Raw genomic sequence first — 17,939 nt, 5'->3', positions numbered from 1 at the left:
TTTCACTGGATACAAAATTTTTGGCTGATAATTGTTTTATTTAAGGAGGCTAAAAATAGGACCCCAATTCCTTCTAACATGTAGGGCTTCTGCTGAGAAGCCTGCTGTTAATCTGACAGGTTTTCCTTTATAGGTTACCTTATGCTTTTGCCTCGCAGCTCTTAAGATTCTTTACTTTATCTTGACTTTAGATAACCTGATTACTATAGGCCTACATGATGATCTTTTTGTGATGAATTTCCCAGGTGTTCTTTGAGCTTCTTGTGTTTGGATGTCTATATCTCTAGCAAGGTTGGAGAAGTTTTTCTTGATTATTCTCACAAATATGTTTTCCAAACTTTTAGATTTCTCTTCTTCTCAGGAACTCCAATTATTCTCAGGTTTGAACATTTAACATAGTCCCAAACTTCTTGGAGTCTTTGTTCATTTTTGAAAATTCTTGTTTCTTTGTGTTTGATGGATTAATTCAAAACCCTTGTCATCGAGCTCTGAAGTTCTTTCTTCTGCTGTTCGGTTCTATTATGGAGACTTCCCAGTGCACTTAGCATTTCTCTAAGTGTGTCCTTGAGCCAGGAAGAGAGGCATCACCAGAAATCAACCTTGGCAGCACTTTGATTTTGAAGTTTTAGTGTTCAGAACTGTGAGAAAATAAATTTCTGATGTTTAAGGCACCCAGTGCAGTATTTTGTTCTGGCAATCTGGGCAGTGAATACAGACATTGTCACTATACCCCCTTTATGCTTTAATTATGGTTTCCTTGAATTCTCTGAACCTATTTATTTTTATTATTTTTATATGCATATTTGTATTATATTTTAAGTTCTAAGGTACATGTGCACAACGTGCAAGTTTGTTACATATGTATACATGCGCCATGTTGGTGTGCTGCACCCATTAACTCATCATTTACATTAGGTATATGTCCTAATGCTATCCCTCCCCCCTCCCCCGACCCCACAACAAGCCCCGGTGTGTGATGTTCCCCTTCCTGTGTCCATGTGTTCTCATTGTTCAATTCCCACCTATGAGTGAGAACATGCGGTGTTTGGTACTTTGTCCTTGTGATAGTTTGCTGAGAATGATGGTTTCCAGCTTCATCCATGTCCCTACAAAGGACATTAGCTCATCATTTTTTATGGCTGCATGGTATTCCATGGTGTATATGTGCCACATTTTCTTAATCCAGTCTATCATTGTTGGACATTTGGGATGGTTCCAAGTCTTTGCTATTGTGAATAGTGCCGCAATAAACATACATGTGCATGTGTCTTTATAGCAGCTTGTTTTATAATCCTTTGGGTATATACCCAGTAATGGGATGGCTGGGTCAAATGGTATTTCTAGTTCTAGATCCCTGAGGAATCACCACACTGTCTTCCACAATGGTTGAACTAGTTTACGGTCCCACCAGCAGTGTAAAAGTGTTCCTATTTCTCCACATCCTCTCCAGTACCTGTTGTTTCCTGACTTTTTAATGATCGCCATTCTAACTGGTGTGAGATGGTATCTCATTGTGGTTTTGATTTGCATTTCTCTGATGGCCAGTGATGATGAGCATTTTTTCATGTGTCTTTTGGCTGCATAAATGTCTTCTTTTGAGAAGTGTCTGTTCACATCCTTCGCCCACTTTTCGATGGGGCTGTTTGTTTTTTTCTTGTAAATTTGTTTGCGTTCTTTGTAGATTCTGGACATTAGCCCTTCGTCAGATGAGTAGATTGCAAAAATTTTCTTCCATTCTGTAGGTTGCCTGTTCACTCTGATAGTAGTTTCTTTTGCTGTGCAGAAGCTCTTTAGTTTAATTAGATCCCGTTTGTCAATTTTGGCTTTTGTTGCCATTGCTTTTGGTGTTTTAGACATGAAGTCCTTACCCATGCCTATGTCCTGAATGGTATTGCCTAGGTTTTCTTCTAGGGTTTTTATGGTTTTAGGTCTACCATGTAAGTCTTTAATCCATCTTGAATTAATTTTTGTATAAGGTGTAAGGAAGGGATCCAGTTTCAGCTTTCTACATATGGCTAGCCAGTTTTCCCAGCACCATTTGTTAAATATCTGAACCTATTTATAATAACTGCTTTGTAGTCTTTGCCAAGTCTAACAGAGTAAACAGACAACCAACATACAATGAACTCAAACAAATTTACAAGAAAAAAACAACCCCATCAAAAAGTGGATGAAGGATATGAACAGACACTTCTCAAAAGAAGACATTTATGCAGCCAAAAGACACATGAAAAAATGCTCATCATCACTGGCCATTAGAGAAATGCAAATCAAAACCACAATGAGATACCATCTCACACCAGTTAGAATGGTAATCATTGAAAAGTCAGGAAACAACAGGTGCTGGAGAGGATGTGGAGAAATAGGAACACTTTTACACTGCTGGTGGGACCGTAAACTAGTTCAACCATTGTGGAAGTCAGTGTGGTGATTCCTCAAGGATCTAGAACTAGAATTTTAGAATAAAAACTGGATATTTTGGATATTTTGGATGATATTGTAGAAAAATCTAGATATTGATTTACTCATCATATTTTAAAACTTGCTGTTTGCTTTTTAGTGATTTCTTTTGACTATTTTACTACATTATCTTTCTCCACAACAAGAAGATTCTAATATTGTTCCTCTGGGAGCACTGCTTTTGGTATGCACACTGCCACTTTTGAATGACAGTGGTTTCAGGGGGCTCTCTTTAATGGCCTCTTTCCCGTATTTCTCTGTTAAGCTCCCTGCCTCTTTCAGTATCTCACCAAAGATCAAGGAAAAAGATGCCTAACACTGTTATTCCAGAACTAAATTTAGTTGTGTAATCACTGAATTGTGGAACACAACTGAATAACTTTACTGTAGCTGAGATATTGTAAATTTACCTGACATTTTTATCAAATAGAGAGAATGGGTAGCCAATAAAATGACTGTTATACTCCTCTTCTTATCACATTCACAAGTTAGTCTGTATGCTTTTACAAATTTAAGGCAACTTTCCTCTCTAAGCCAGAAATATAAAATGATAAGTACTGCATTTGTTTTCATTTTTTTCAACTTTTATTTTAAGTTCGGGGTACAAGTGTAAGTTTGTTACATAGGTAAACTTGTGTCATGGGGGTTTGTTGTACAGATTATTTCATCACCCAAGTATTAAGCCTAGTACCCATTAGTTATTTTTCCTGATCCTGTCCCTCTTTCATCCTCCACTCTGCAAAAGGCCCCAGTGTTCGTTGTTCCCCTCCATGTGTCCATATGCTCTCATCATTTAGCTCCCATTTATAGGTGAGGACATGCAGTATTTGGTTTACTATTCCTGTGTTAGTTTGCTAAGGATAATAGCCTCCAGCTCCATCCATGTCCCTGCAAAGGACATGATCTTGTTTCTTTTTTATGTCTGCATTGTATTCTATGGTGTATATGTACCAACTTTTCTTTATCTAGTCTATTACTGATGGGCATTTGGGTTGATTTCATGTCTTTGCTATTGTGAATAGTGCTGCATTACATAAGGGTAAAGGTTCAATTCAACCAGAAGATCTAACTATCCTAAATATAAGCATCTAACACATGAGCACACAGATTCATAAAGCAAGTTCTTAGAGACCTTCAAAGAGACTTAGGCTCCAACACAATAATAGTGGGAGACTTTTAGACAGATAATTGAGACAGAAAATTTTATCAGAGATATTCAGGACCTGAACTCAGCATTGAATTAAAGTATAGCATTTGAAATAATAGCATCAAGCACATATTTAGGTCACAACAGCCTTGCATTTTTATGGATTACTTTACCAGTAAATGAGTTCTAAAACTAATCATATCTAACTAATGTTCCATTGATAGCAAATACTAGAGTTCCACAAATTACAGGAGGAAATTCATGAAGATATTTTCGCATGTAATAACTTACAGCTACAGTTGTCATCAAAGATCCATATTTAACTTCAGAGCTAAATAAGCCATTAACAGGAGACTTGAAAAATTCTTGTTCTTACCTCCATGACTCTTTGACTGTATGTTGATTAGATGCTTTATTATATCTTTTCCATTAACACCTTTCAAGTGTTTTAAGACAGTCTCTATAAAAATAAAACAGGTTTTCAAAACGCTTTGAAAGGTAAATTGTAACATATGTCCGTGCTGTGTGTATGTGATAGTATATTTGTATGTATGAATAGTAATAACTTAATTAGCATCAGTCATTAAAGAAGATGAATTAGTAAAAAAAAAAAAGCACTGGACTGCAGAATTACAAAGCCTTAGAATTGGAAGCATTCTTAGCAATCATATAAGCCTAGAGAAGTTTAGTGATTTGAACAAAATCAGATATACAGTTAACTATAAAACTTATACAGAAATAGATGTTTGTTACTCCTTAACCAGTGCTTTCTTCCATACAATGCTGCCTCTTTTCCAAACTGAAATTATCCTAGAGAGTTTATGATAAGAATATAATTTTTAAACACATTCATACTTCATACAAGCATATCCATACACCAGGTATGGATATACCTGGTGAGGTGGAATATAATTTTATTCACAAGTCAACTTGTGAACTATGGTCTTTATAGTCACAGAAAGTTAACCATCAGGGAGAAATTCTCTGATTCTTCTAAGAATATTTTAGCCCCTTTTTATGTTATGTAACTACAAATTATGTGACAGCAGTGATTATTGTGGACTGGTAGAACGTGCCCTCTCAGGTCCATTTAGAATGTAGACTTTGTAGATGGTGAGGAAGAAATGGGTAATTTTGCATTCCTATCAGCACTGAGTTTGGATCCCTTTCCCTTTGAGTTTTGATATGATTTGAACTTTTGCTTGCTTTTGAAACAACTGCTAGGGTCAATGACAGAAAAATGAAATCAAAATTAATAAAGGGAATTCATATTAAAAATCAAATAATCTGGATTTATGAAGCTTTGCCATCTACCGGGCCTCAAGTTTTGTGGGTGAAATTGGGTCTTAGCAGAGCATGTGACTGTAGTGTGAAAACTGCAGTGACCCAGACATCATAGAGTAGAAGTTTTGCTCTGGAGAAATGGTTGAGTCCATGAATAAATTTTAAAGCTGCAAATGACCCATTGGTACATCCCATATGTACCACCATTACAATCTGTATAGAAATAGGAACAATTTAGGGCATTATCTCCAAAATGAAAAGATGCATCAGATTGACAGAATAAGTTATTAATTTGATTAAAATATTTCGTGAAAATGATGACCTACAGCAACAACAACAACAACAAAAACCTGGGGAACATTAGCAGACATATTTTAACCTCTTTAGTTATTTCCCTAACTGGTATAAGCAAGGAGTACTAATTCATTTGCGTTAGATAAGCAAAAGTTTCTTAGATCAGTAATGAGTATTTGAGGACAGATAGGTTTAAGCACTAAGAATACAAAATTATGTGCTAGAGAAATATAATTTAGTAAGATTCACAATTTTCCTTCTTCGTAACATCCTCCCAGTACTTTACATCTCTTTTTGAAACTGTTACACATGGATTTTATTGAGCTTTCTTTTTTTTTTTTTTAAAAAAAGGGTAATATATCATACAATTTGCCCTTGTAAAGCATCTAATTCAAATATTTTTAATATATTCACAGTTGTTAAACCATCATCACAGTCATTTTTAGAATCTACTTCAGATTTATTCTAATTAATTTCCAGTAAACTATACAAGGATTACTGCTATATTTTCTATTCCCTCTTCCTGACATTTGTACTGTTGTTACACCTATAAATATTAAAACCATTGTTATAATTATTTCTCTATATAACTTTATACCTTTTAAAGAACTGAGAAAAGAAAGAAGAACAAGTACATATTTATAATGTTTGTTATATGAACATTCTTGTTTATAGTTTCTGGTTCTTTTTATTATTTCCTGTGGATTTGAGTTACCATCTATTGTCATTTTCTTACTCCAGCATACTATTGCTCCCAGCCATTTCCTTTGTGCTGCTATTGTCAAATATATTGCATGCCTATTACATATCTATTATGTGATAGGCCCCAAAATACAGTTACATATCAAATTTATATATCTATATATGGTACCACACAATTACATTTTAAATCAATTAAGAGAAGAAAAGAACAAAATATGCATTTATATAATATTATGTAATAGAATTATTTCACTAATGCTTTTGTTGAAAAAATTATGATGTGAGGAAACTTGTTTTCAGCCTGAGGAACTTTCTTAAGTTTTTTTTAATAACACGGCCTGATACCAACTAATCCTGTAAATTTTTATTTATTTCAGATTCTTTTTGTTTGAGTTTCACTTTTAAAAATAATTTTGCCAAACATAAAATTATTGGTTGATATTTTTTTCTTGCAGCCCTTTGAAAATGCCATCCTACTGCCTTCTGGCCTCCATAATTTTTGGGTTTTTTTTCCCCCAAGATGGAGTCTTTCTCTGTCATCTTGGCTCACTGCAAACTCCACCTCCCGGGTTCAAGCGATTCTCCTGCCTCAGCCTCATGAGTAACTGGGATTACAGGCCCGCACCACCATGCCCAGCTAATTTTTGTATTTTAGTAGAGACAGGGCTTCACCAGGTTGGCCAGACTGGTCTTGAACCACTGACCTCAAGTGATCCACCCCCACCTTGGCCTCCCAAAGTGCTGGGATTACAAGCATGAGCCACTGCACCTGGCCTTGGCCTCCATAGTTTCTGATGCTATGTCACCTATTAATCTTACTAGAATTAACTTTTGTATGGTTACACTCATGTAACCATACAAACATGATGTTTAGACTACATATAAGATGGTGATTCCGTAAGATTGTAAAGGAGCTGGAAATTTCTATCATGTAGTGATGTTGTAACCATTGTAACATCTTAATGTAATGAATTATTCACAAACCTGTGATGATGCTGGTGTAAACAAACCTACTCTGCTGCCAGATATATAAAAGTATAGCACATAGAATTATGTACAGTACATAACACTTGATGATAATAATAAAAAGCTATGTTACTGTTTTATATATTTGCTATACATTTTTATTTTTATTTGAGTATGCATACTTCTACTTACAAAAAACATTAACTGTAGAACAGCCTCAGACAGGTCCCTCAGGACGTATTCCAGAAGAAGGCATCGTTATCATAGGAGATGAAAGCTTCACGTGTGTTACTTTCCCTGAAGACTTTCCACTGGGGCAAGACGTGGAGGTGGAAGACAGTGATGATACTGATGATCTTGATTCTGTGTAGGTCTAGGCTAATGTGTATGTTTGTGTCTCAGTTTTTAACAAAAATGTTTTAAAGGTAATAAAAAAATTAAATAGAAAGCAGCTTATTGAATAAGGATATAGAAAAAGAAAATATTTTTGTACAACTGTACAATGTGTGTTTTAAGTTAAATGTTATTATAAGAGTCCAAAAATTAAAAAAATAAAAGTTTATAGTTAAAAAGTTACAGTAAGCTAAGGTTATTTTTAAGGAAAGATTTTTAAAAATAAATTTCATGTAGCCTAAGTGTACATACAGTGTTTTATAAAGTCTACTGTAGTGTACAATAATGTCCTAGACCTTTGCATTCACTCACTGCTCACTCACTGATGCACCCAGAGCAACATTCAGTCTTGCAAGCTCTACTCATGGTAAGTGCTCTACACAGGTGTACCACTTTTTATCTTTTATCTGGTATTTTTACTGTATCTTTTCTATGTTTAGATACAGAATTGCTTACTCTTGTGTTACCATTGCCTGCAAAATTCAGTCCAGTAACATGCTGTACAAGTCTGTAGCCTAGGAGCAATAGGCTATACAATATAGCCTAGATATGTAGAAAGCTATACCACCTAGGTTTGTGTAAGTATACTCTATGATTTTTGCATGATGATGAAGTCACCCAACGATGCATTTGTCAGGACACATTTCCATCATTAGGCAACACATGACTGTAGTTGTTCTCTTGCTACTTCAAGGTTTTCACTTTGTCTCTCAATGTTTTTACTATGTTGGATCTGGTTGTGAATTTTATTGTGTTTATATAATTAGATTTAATTGAGCTTAGATTGGTGGACTAGTATTTTACATCAAACATTTTTCAAAATTTCAGCCATAATTTCTTTAAATTATTTTGTTCTTTCCCTCCTAGTAATCCTATTACTTTAAATTTACAGATTATTTCTTCTGTTAAAACTACTCTTGAGCCCCTCTAGTGAATTTTTCTTCAGTTATTGTACTATCAACGCTAGAATTTCCTTTTTACATGCACTAAAACATCACATTGTATCCCATAAATACGTTCAATCGTAAATCAAAATACTTTTAATCTTTTTGTTAATATTCTCTATTCGGTGAGACATTCTCATCATATCTTCCTTTCATGCTTAAGCATAGATTTTACGAATTCTTTTAAATATTTATAAGAATTATTTTGTAGTTGCTCCCTGCTATACCAAACATTTGGCATCCTCATAAAAAGTTTCTGTTGCTTTTTTCCTATGTATGGGACACATCTTCCTGTTTTTTTTTCTTTTTTGCATGTCTATCATATTTTGCTAAAATTGGGCTTTTTAGATAGCAAACCTCCATATGGATTTCTTGTTTACCTTTTGGAATCTTGTTGTGTACATGTTTCTTTATTTAGCTATTTGGGTGGACTATTTTCTATTTTACTGAAGTCTTCTCCTGCAACATGAAGCTTCTAATGTTATTCCTCTGTGGGCACAGATGTATATACACATGTATTAGGGTTCTCTAGAGGGAAAGAACTAATAGGATATATATATATATATATATCCTTATATATATAAGAACTAATAGGATATATATATTTATTAAGTATTAACTCACATGATCACAAGGTCCCACAATAGGTCAGCTCCTGCAAGCTGAGGAACAAGGAGAGCCAGTCAAGTCCCAAAACTGAAGAACCTGGAGTCCAATGTTTGAGGGCAGGAAGCATCCAGCACAGGATAAAGATGTAGGCTGGGAGGCCAGGCCAGTCTAGTATTTTCACGTTTTTCTGCCTGCTTTATATTCTAGCCACACTGGCAGCTGATTAGATGGTGCCCACCCAGATTAAGGGTGGGTCTGCCTTTCCAGTCTACTGACTCAAATGTTAATCCCCTTTGGCAACACCCTCACAGACACACCCATAATCAATACTTTGCATCCTTCACTCCAATCAAGTTAACACTCAGTATTAACCATCATAAGTCCATCCCTTGTCAATTTGAACCCGTACACATCTCCTGAGATCATACATAATCTTCAAATAAAGGCAATAATAAAGTCATAATTATGCCTAACGTGATACAACTATCCTTCATATAACCAGAAACGCACAAATCCCCAACCCAAATACTGTTACCTAAAGTTAACAATACTTAAATGCTGATATGAAGTCAATAAATCTTACATCACATGATAAAGGAAAAAGGAAATAAAATGAAGATATGTTCTTAGTACAAGTGTATACATGCACAAATGTGTTTTTAACAAAAGAAGGAGGAAATACTCATGACAATTACAGTCCTCATTTCTGCAGCTGGTCACATTGTTGTAGCTGGCATTGGTGACTGCCTTCTTCTACTTATGCATTCTGTATTCCCTTTGCCTTCAGCAAGCACCTCAGCAGGCTATGAAATTTTTTCCCGGTGGAGTGACCCAAACCTTCATTCCTGAAGGGTCTGTGCTATTTGTAGTCCTGCCTGGATTGGGCTGTTGTAGTTTCCCATTGACCTTAATCACAGGGCATGGTAATACTAAGAGATGCCCTAATGAATCTCCTGTATTCCATGCATACTCTTCCTGATCTCCACTGTGGAGTAGTAGACTGAATTCATCTTGATAGTCCGGGTCAATCACCCAAGTCAACAATGTAGCCCCCTTCTTAGCCTGTTGATTTAAAGGTAGGAGGAGCCCAAAGTGTCCATGTGGCACTCTTAACTTCCAGTTTAATTGAATTGTTGTTGTGTCTCCTGGTGGCAGCGTTCCTCCCTCTGGAACTAAGACCTCTAGGTGAGCAGAAAGTAATGTCACAGGAACAAGAAACAAAAGTTTTGCTAGTGGATCACTAGGGGTGATGGTGAGTGGTGCCACTTCCCACTTCCACCCCATGATTCCTGGACCTGTGAATCCTGGCTATGGGAGAAACAGTAACATATATTGGATGCTGATTCAGAGAATACATGGCCTTCTGGAGAATTTTGTCCCAGCCCTGCAAAGTATTGTCACCTAGTTGGCATTGTAATTGTGACTTCAAAAGGCCATTCCAGCTGCTTCAGGATGATGGGGAACATGGTAAGACCAGTGAATTCCAAGAGCATGAGTCCACTGCTGCTCTTCTTCTTCTTCTTTCTTCTTCTTCTTCTTCTTCTTCTTCTTCTTCTTCTTCTTCTTCTTCTTCTTCTTCTTCTTCTTCTTCTTCTTCCTCTTCCTCTTCCTCTTCCTCTTCTTCTTCTTCTTCTTCTTCTTCTCCTTCCTTCCTTCTTCTTCTTCTCCTTCTCCTTCTCCTTCTTCTTCTTTTTTAAACTATTTAAACAAATTTATTCTGAGCCAATATGAATGACCATGGCCCAGGGAACAGTCTCAAGAGTTCTTGAGAAAGTATGCACAAGGTAATTGAATTACAGTTTGGTTTTATACATTTTAGGGAGACAGGAGTTATAAGCAAAGACATAAATCAATACATGGAAGGTATACTTTGGTTCAGATAAAAAAAGGCAGGGCATCTTAAAGGGGCTTGGGCTTCCAGGTTGGAGGTAGATTCAAAGATTTTCTGATTTTGGCAATTGGTTGAAAGAGTTAAGCTTTGTCTAAAGACTTGAAGTCAGTGGAAAGAAATGCTTTAGTCAAGACAAGGGGGATTGTGGATGCCAAGGTCTTTGTTACATAGATGAAGCCTCACAGGTAGCAGCCTTTAGAGAGAATAGATGATAAATGTCTCTTTTCAGGACTTAAAAGATGGCAAGCACTTAGTTAATCTATCCTATATCTGGGAAATGCCTGGAAAGGGATTTCGTGGCTGCATTAATGGAGATTCTCTATAGATAGAAATTTCTCCCACAAAAAATATGGCTTTGCAGGGCCATTTTAAAACATGGTTTTTAGTTATTTATTTTTATTATACTTTAAGTTCCAAGGTACATGTGCACAACGTGCAGGTTTGTTACATAGGTATACATGTGCCATGCTGGTTTGCTGCACCCATTAACTCGTCATTTACCTTAGGTATTTCTCCCAACGCTATACCTCCCCCAGCCCCCCACCCCCAGACAGGCCCTGGTGTGTGATGTTCCCCACCCGGTGTCCATGTGTTCTCATTGTTCAACTCCCATCTATGAGTGAGAACACGCTACTGCCGCACTTCTTTAGCCGTAAATTGAGTGCCTTGGTCAGAGACAATGCCATGATGGTGTATAAGGCATTCTGTGAGTCCACGGATGGTAGTCTTGGCAGAAGCATTGCATGCAAGATAGGCAAACCCATATCCGGAGTAAGTGTCTATTCCAGTGAGGACAAACCTCTGCCCTTCCCATGATGGAAAAGGTCCCATATAATCAACCTGCCACCTGCCACCAGGTACCGAGGAATGGTGCCATATAGAGGGCTCAGTGTTAGTCTCTGCTGCTGGCAAATTAGGCACTCAGCAGTGGCCATAGCCAGATCAGCCTTGGTGAGTGGAAGTCCACATTGCTGAGCCCATGTATAACCTCCATCCCTGCCACCATGGCCACTTTGTTCATGGGCCCATTGGGCAATGACAGGCGTGGCTGGGGAAAGAGGCTGAGTGGTGTCCACAGAATGGGTCATCCTATCCACTTGATTATTAAAATCCTCCTCTGCTGAGGTCACCCATTGGTGAGCACTCACATGGGATACAAATATCTTCACAGTTTTTGACCATTCAGAGAGGTCCACCCACATACCTCTTCCCCAAATGTCTTTGTCACCAATTTTTCAATCATGCTTCTTTCAAGTCCCTGACCATCCAGACAAACTATTGGCTCCAACCCACGAATCAAATATATAATCACACATCTGGCCATTTCTCCTTCCATGAAGAGTGCACAACCAGGTGCACCACTCGAAGTTCTGTCCACTGAGAAGATTTCCCTTCACCGCTGTGTTTCAGGGATGTCCTAGAAATGGGCTGTAGTGCTGCAGCTGTCCACTTTCGAGTGGTGCCTGCATAACATGCAGAACCATCTGGGAACCAGGCCTTATTCTTCTCTTCCTCTGTCCACTGATCATAGGGAACTCCCCATGAGGCCATTGGTGCAGGCTTGGGGAGAGAAGGCAGGGTGGCAGGAGTGGGGACCACGGGCATTTGAGCCACTTCCTCATGTAACTTGCTTGTGCCTTCAGGACCTGCTCAAGCCCAATCATGTACATACCACTTCCATTTGATGATGGAATACTGCTGTGCATGCCCCACTCTATGGCTAGATGGGTCAGAAAGCACCCAGTTCATGATAGGCAGTTCAGGTCACATGGTGACTTGATGACCCATAGTCAAATGTTCAGTTTCTACCAAAGCCCAGTAATAGGACAAGAGGTGTCTCTCAAAAGGAGGGCATCTTTTTCCTGTGCTGGATGCTTCCTGCCCTTGCATATTGGACTCCAAGTTCTTCAAATTTCTGCTCATATAAATTAGAAAACTCAGTTTTCTTGGAGTATAGTGCACTTCCATGTGGGTTACACTTTGAACCTCACTTCTAGGGGACTGCTGGGACTTTAGTCTAGTTATAGGTCTAGAAGCAAACAGGGATGTTGGAGGTGGTTCCTGAGGAGAATAAACATTATCTTGCCTGGCAACTGCCTCAGGGAAGGCCATCACTGTTGCCTCAGGCAGCACAGAGTTTATCTCCTCAGACAAAGATGCAAAGGCTTGTGGCAGCATGGGTTGGGGAAAGGATGTTGTCACTACTGGGGATGGGGAAGCTGTTTCTTCTGGTAAAAAAGATTCATCAGAGTTTACAAATTCAGTGTCTCCAGCTTCATCAGGTCCTCCCACACATCCCCATTCCAAGTTGCAGGGTCCCATTCTTTTTCAATCAATGCCCTCACTTTAACAGTAGACACCTGGCGAGGCTGTGCATGCACCTTTCATTGCAGGTCAGCCACTTGCATGATAAGAGCTTGTGTATGTTTTTCCACAATTTCAGCTCTTTATCGGTGTTCTCCACACTATTAGAAGTAGAGTCCTTAACATTTTTGTGTTTAATCACATTAAGCAGCCAACTCCAGAAACCCCAAAACCAACAAAAGAACTCCATCCTTAATATTCTGTTCCTCTAGAACCACTCCTGGTACCAAAATCTGTATCAGTTAGGGTTCTCTAGAGGGAAAGAAGTAATAGAAGATATAGATATAGATATATAGATAGATACAGATGATATAGATGGGAGTTTATTAAGTATTAACTCACACGAGGGCAGGAAGCATCCAGCACAGGAGAAAGATGTAGGCTGGGAGGCTAGGCCAGTCTAGTCTTTTCACGTTTTTCTGTCTGCTTTATATTCTAGCCATGCTGGCAGCTGATTAGATGGTGCCCACCCAGATTAAGGATGTGTCTGCCTTTCCCAGCCACTGACTCAAATGTTAATCTCTTTTGGCAACACTCTCACAGACACACCAGGATCAATACTTCGAATCCTTCAATCCAATCAAATTGACAGTATTAACCATCATAACACACAATCACTTTTGGATGAGAGTTGTTTTAACAGGGCTCTCTTTATCTGTTTCTTCCCCTTATGTCTCTGTTAAGCTCTCTGCCTCTATGGGTATAACACGAAAAATTAAGGAGAAGTGTGTCATTGTTTCACCACTAAAAATGCAGTAGTATAATTTTTGAACTTTATAACAAAACTAAAGTGGCTGAAACATTGTCAATTTGCCTGATAACATAACGATATGAGAGGGAATGGGTAACCGATGAAATCATTATCAGTTATATTCATCTTGTTATCATGTTCATAAGCTAGCAATTCTGCTTTTGCAAATACAAAGCAACTTTCCTAATTAGCCATAAATAGCAAATTGAACAGCATTTGAAATACATCTGCAAGCATATTCTAAGGTCACTATAGCATTAGACTTTTATGGATAACTTTTTAAATAAATGAGCCCTAAAGCTAATTTTCTATTGAGAATAATACTAGAGTTCAACTAATTATAGGAGGAAATTCATGAAGACTTTTTCTCACGTGATAATTACATATAGGTACTGTTGTCATTAGAGATACATACTTAAACTCCAGAGAAGATAGGAAACCATAAGTAGATTTTAAAAATTCTTATTCTTACCAGGGTAACTCTTTCTCTTTAACTGCGTCTTAATTGCATCATTTATTGTACCTCTCTCAGTTGTACTATGCAATCGTTCATCAGTCTCTATAAAAAAGTAAACAGATTTCAAAACACTTTTTTAATGTAAATATTAACATGTGTGTGTGCATGTGTCTAATACTATCATAATTAATATTCTTCATTGGAGTAGAATTATAATAAAGTGTCCAGATTGCAGCAACATAGGAATTCAAATTGAAAGGAAAATTAACAATTAACAATCATATAAGCCTCATTATATTGAGGCTTAGTTATATTTAGTGATTTGACCAAGACCATATAGCAAGTAATAACAAAACTGAGGCACAGACTTATGCTACCTTATTTCTTAACTATTTTTTCCATATAATGCAATCTCATATGCAAATTTAAATCACACTAGATAGTTTGTGGTAATAACATAACTTTCAAGTATATATTAAGAACATATATATGTTGTAGGGGTATATCTGGTGAGGTGGAACATCAATTTTTTTTCATAGTTGACCTATCTGCACACAATGGTCATCACAACTCACAAAATATAATAAAACAGAAGTTCCTTGACTCATCCAGAAATATTTTAATAGTCTATTTTAGGTGGTGTAACTATAATTCAAATAGGCATCAGTGATAAAAAAGAATAATAAATAACGCATGTAATGTGAAAAAAGTCTCTTCTCTCTGGTTCTTTTAGCAGGCGGACTTTACAGCTGGGAAGAAGAAAACGGGAATATTTGTAGTGGTACTAGCCTTAGGATTGTATTCCTTTTCATTTGAGTTTTATGTGATTTATACATTTTGTTGGATTTAGAAACTAGTATCTAGGTATAATGATGGAAAAACTAAAAAATCTACTAAAGAGAATTTCATATTGAAAAACAGATAATTAGAACTGGTAAACCTGGTTTATTAAACCTGAAGTTTTTTGTGTCAAAGTTGGTTTTAGCAGAGCATGTAATGGTAGTTGGACACCTGTAATGATCCTGAACGACAGAGTGGAAGTCTTGCTTTGGAAAATTGGCTGAGCCCATTATTAATGTTAAAATTTGCACTATTATCATGGCAGCCCAAATATACCACCAATATAATTCAAATAGAGGCAGAAACCAGATTACACATCATTGTAAAAATGCATTATATTGGCCAGGTGCAGTGGCTCATGCCTGTAATCCCAGCACTTTGGGAGGCCGAGGTGGGCAGATCTCGAGGTCCCAAGTTCGAGACCAGCCTGGCCAACATAGTGAAACCTTGTCTCTACTAAAAACACAAAAATTAGCAGGGCGTGGTGGCGTGCGCCTTAGTCCCAGCTACTTAGGAGGCTGAGGCAGGATAATTGCTTGAACCTGGGAGGCGGAGGTTGTGGTGAGCCAAGATTGCATCACTGTACTCCAGCCTGGGCAACAGAGCAAGACACCATCTCAAAAAAAAAAAAGCATCATATTGGACAAAACGAGTTTTCAATAATTCAATAACAACATTTTGTAAAAGTAATAGCTATATGCAACAGAAAACTGAGGAACATTAACAGATGTATTTCAGCTCTTTTGTCTTTCTCTTACAGATATAAGTAAGAAAGGCTGATTCATTTGAACTAAGAAATCAGAGGATTTTTAGATAAGCAGGGAGTCAATGAGTAGAGCATTTTAGAGTTAAACACTACGAATACAAAGTTATGTGCTGGAGAAATTTATCAACTAGTAAAAGTCACAATTTTCCTCCCTTACATTATTATCCTGTTGCTTTAAATTTTACAAAATCTTATCCTGCTTAGAGTTCCTGAGCTTTTAAAAATGTGTATATTTTTAAACCATACTATTTTTCCATTTAAAGTGTCCAATTCAATGCTTATTACAGAAATGTGTATTACCTCAGTCAACTTTATAATCTTTTTCACATTTACACTAATTACATTCTACTGAGATACAGAAACATTACTCCTTTATATATACCTTTATTCTCTTTCCCCAGTTTTTGTGCTACTGTTATACATATTATACCTGTAAATATTAAGGACAATGTAATAATTATTGTTATAATTATTTCTTTGTATAACTTTATGCCTTTTAAATAAACTGAGAAAAGAAAGAAGATCAAGTACATGTTTATAGGATTTGTTACATGAACACACTTATTTACATTTTTTGGTTATTTTTATTCTTGCTCTGTATTTATCATCCAGTGTTATTTTCTTACAGTGTTACATCACTTCTCCCTCCAATCACCTTTGTGATGCTATCATGAATATATTACATGTTGATATGTTATATGCCCAATGATACAATTATATAAATTTTTTATACAGTTGTCTTTTAGATAAATTAAGAAAAGAAAGAAGGTGGAATATATATTTGTACATACTCTCTTTTGCAATTATAACATTTAACTCATACCTTTTTTAGGGGGCTTCAAATTACTGTCAGAGGTCAGCTTTAGCCTGAAGAAATTTCTTTAGAATTTCTTGGAAAACAGTTCTGCTAGAAATGAAATCTCTCAATTTTTATTTAGTAATTTCATATTTCACCTTTTCTGAAAAGCAGTTTTGCTAGCAATAAAATTATTGGTTGGTAGATTTTTTTTTTTCAGCACTTTTATTTATTGTTTTGTTTGTTTTTCTTTTTTTGTTATACTTTAAGTTTTAGGGTACATGTGCACAACGTGCAGGTTTGTTACATATGTATACATGTGCCATGTTGGTGTGCTGCACCCATTAACTCATCATTTAACATTAGGTATATCTCCTAATGCTATCCCTCCCCCTACCCCCACCCCACAACAGGCCCCAGTGTGTGATGTTCCCCTTCCTGTGTCCAAGTGTTCTCATTGTTCAATTCCCACCTATGAGAGAGAACATGTGGTGTTTGGTTTTTTGGCCTTGCGATAGTTTGCTGAGAATGATGATTTCCAGCTTCATCCATGTCCCTACAAAGGACATGAGCTCATCCTTTTTTATGGTTGCATAGTATTCCATGGTGTATATGTGTCACTTTTCTTAATCCAGTCTATCATTGTTGGACATTTGGGTTGGTTCCAAGTCTTTGCTATTGTGAATAGTGCCGCAATAAACATACGCGTGCATGTGTATTTATAGCAGCATGTTTTATAATCCTTTGGGTATATACCCAGTAATGGGATGGCTGGGTCAAATGGTACTTCTAGTTCTAGATCCCTGAAGAATCGCCACACTGACTTCCACAATGGTTGAACTAGTTTACAGTCCCACCAACAGTGTAAAAGTGTTCCTATTTCTCCACATCCTCTCCAGCACCTGTTGTTTCCTGACTTTTTAATGATCGCCATTCTAACTGGTGTGAGATGGTATCTCATTGTGGTTTTGATTTGCATTTCTCTGGTGGCCAGTGATGGTGAGCATTTTTTCATGTGTCCGTTGGCTGCATAAATGTCTTCTTTTGAGAAGTGTCTGTTCATATCCTTCGCCCACTTTTTGATGGGGTTGTTTTTTCTTGTAAATTTGTTTGAGTTCATTGTAGATTCTGGATATTAGCCCTTTGTCAGATGGGTAGATTGTAAAAATTTTCTCCCATTCTGTAGGTTGCCTGTTCACTCTGATGGTAGTTTCCTTTGCTGTGCAGAAGCTCTTCAGTTTAATTAGATCCCATTTGTCAATTTAGGCTTTTGTT

General features: G+C 37.0%; 1 protein-coding gene across 42 annotated transcripts in view; it reads right to left on the bottom strand.

Moving 5' to 3' along the window:
- CCDC7 (coiled-coil domain containing 7) overlaps window positions 1–17,939 on the bottom strand; it is a 439,541-nt gene that overhangs the window by 43,983 nt on the left and 377,619 nt on the right. For 39 of the 42 annotated variants that reach the window (XM_047425743.1, XM_047425742.1, NM_001321115.2 and 36 more), the window contains 2 exons: window positions 14,278–14,364; window positions 3,984–4,067 (listed from right to left, as the gene is read on the bottom strand). In XM_047425743.1, coding sequence (XP_047281699.1) covers window positions 3,984–4,067; window positions 14,278–14,364 — 171 coding nt within the window. Of the gene's footprint in view, window positions 1–3,983; window positions 4,068–8,817; window positions 8,853–14,277; window positions 14,365–16,691; window positions 16,776–17,939 lie in introns of those variants that run through there. The other 3 variants (XM_017016644.1, XM_017016647.3, XM_011519684.4) reach the window with 3 other exon arrangements.

This window comes from Homo sapiens, chromosome 10 (genome assembly GCF_000001405.40).
Source record: "Homo sapiens chromosome 10, GRCh38.p14 Primary Assembly".
Taxonomy (NCBI): Eukaryota; Metazoa; Chordata; class Mammalia; order Primates; family Hominidae; genus Homo; species Homo sapiens.
This window is presented reverse-complemented; position numbering and strand designations above follow the sequence as displayed.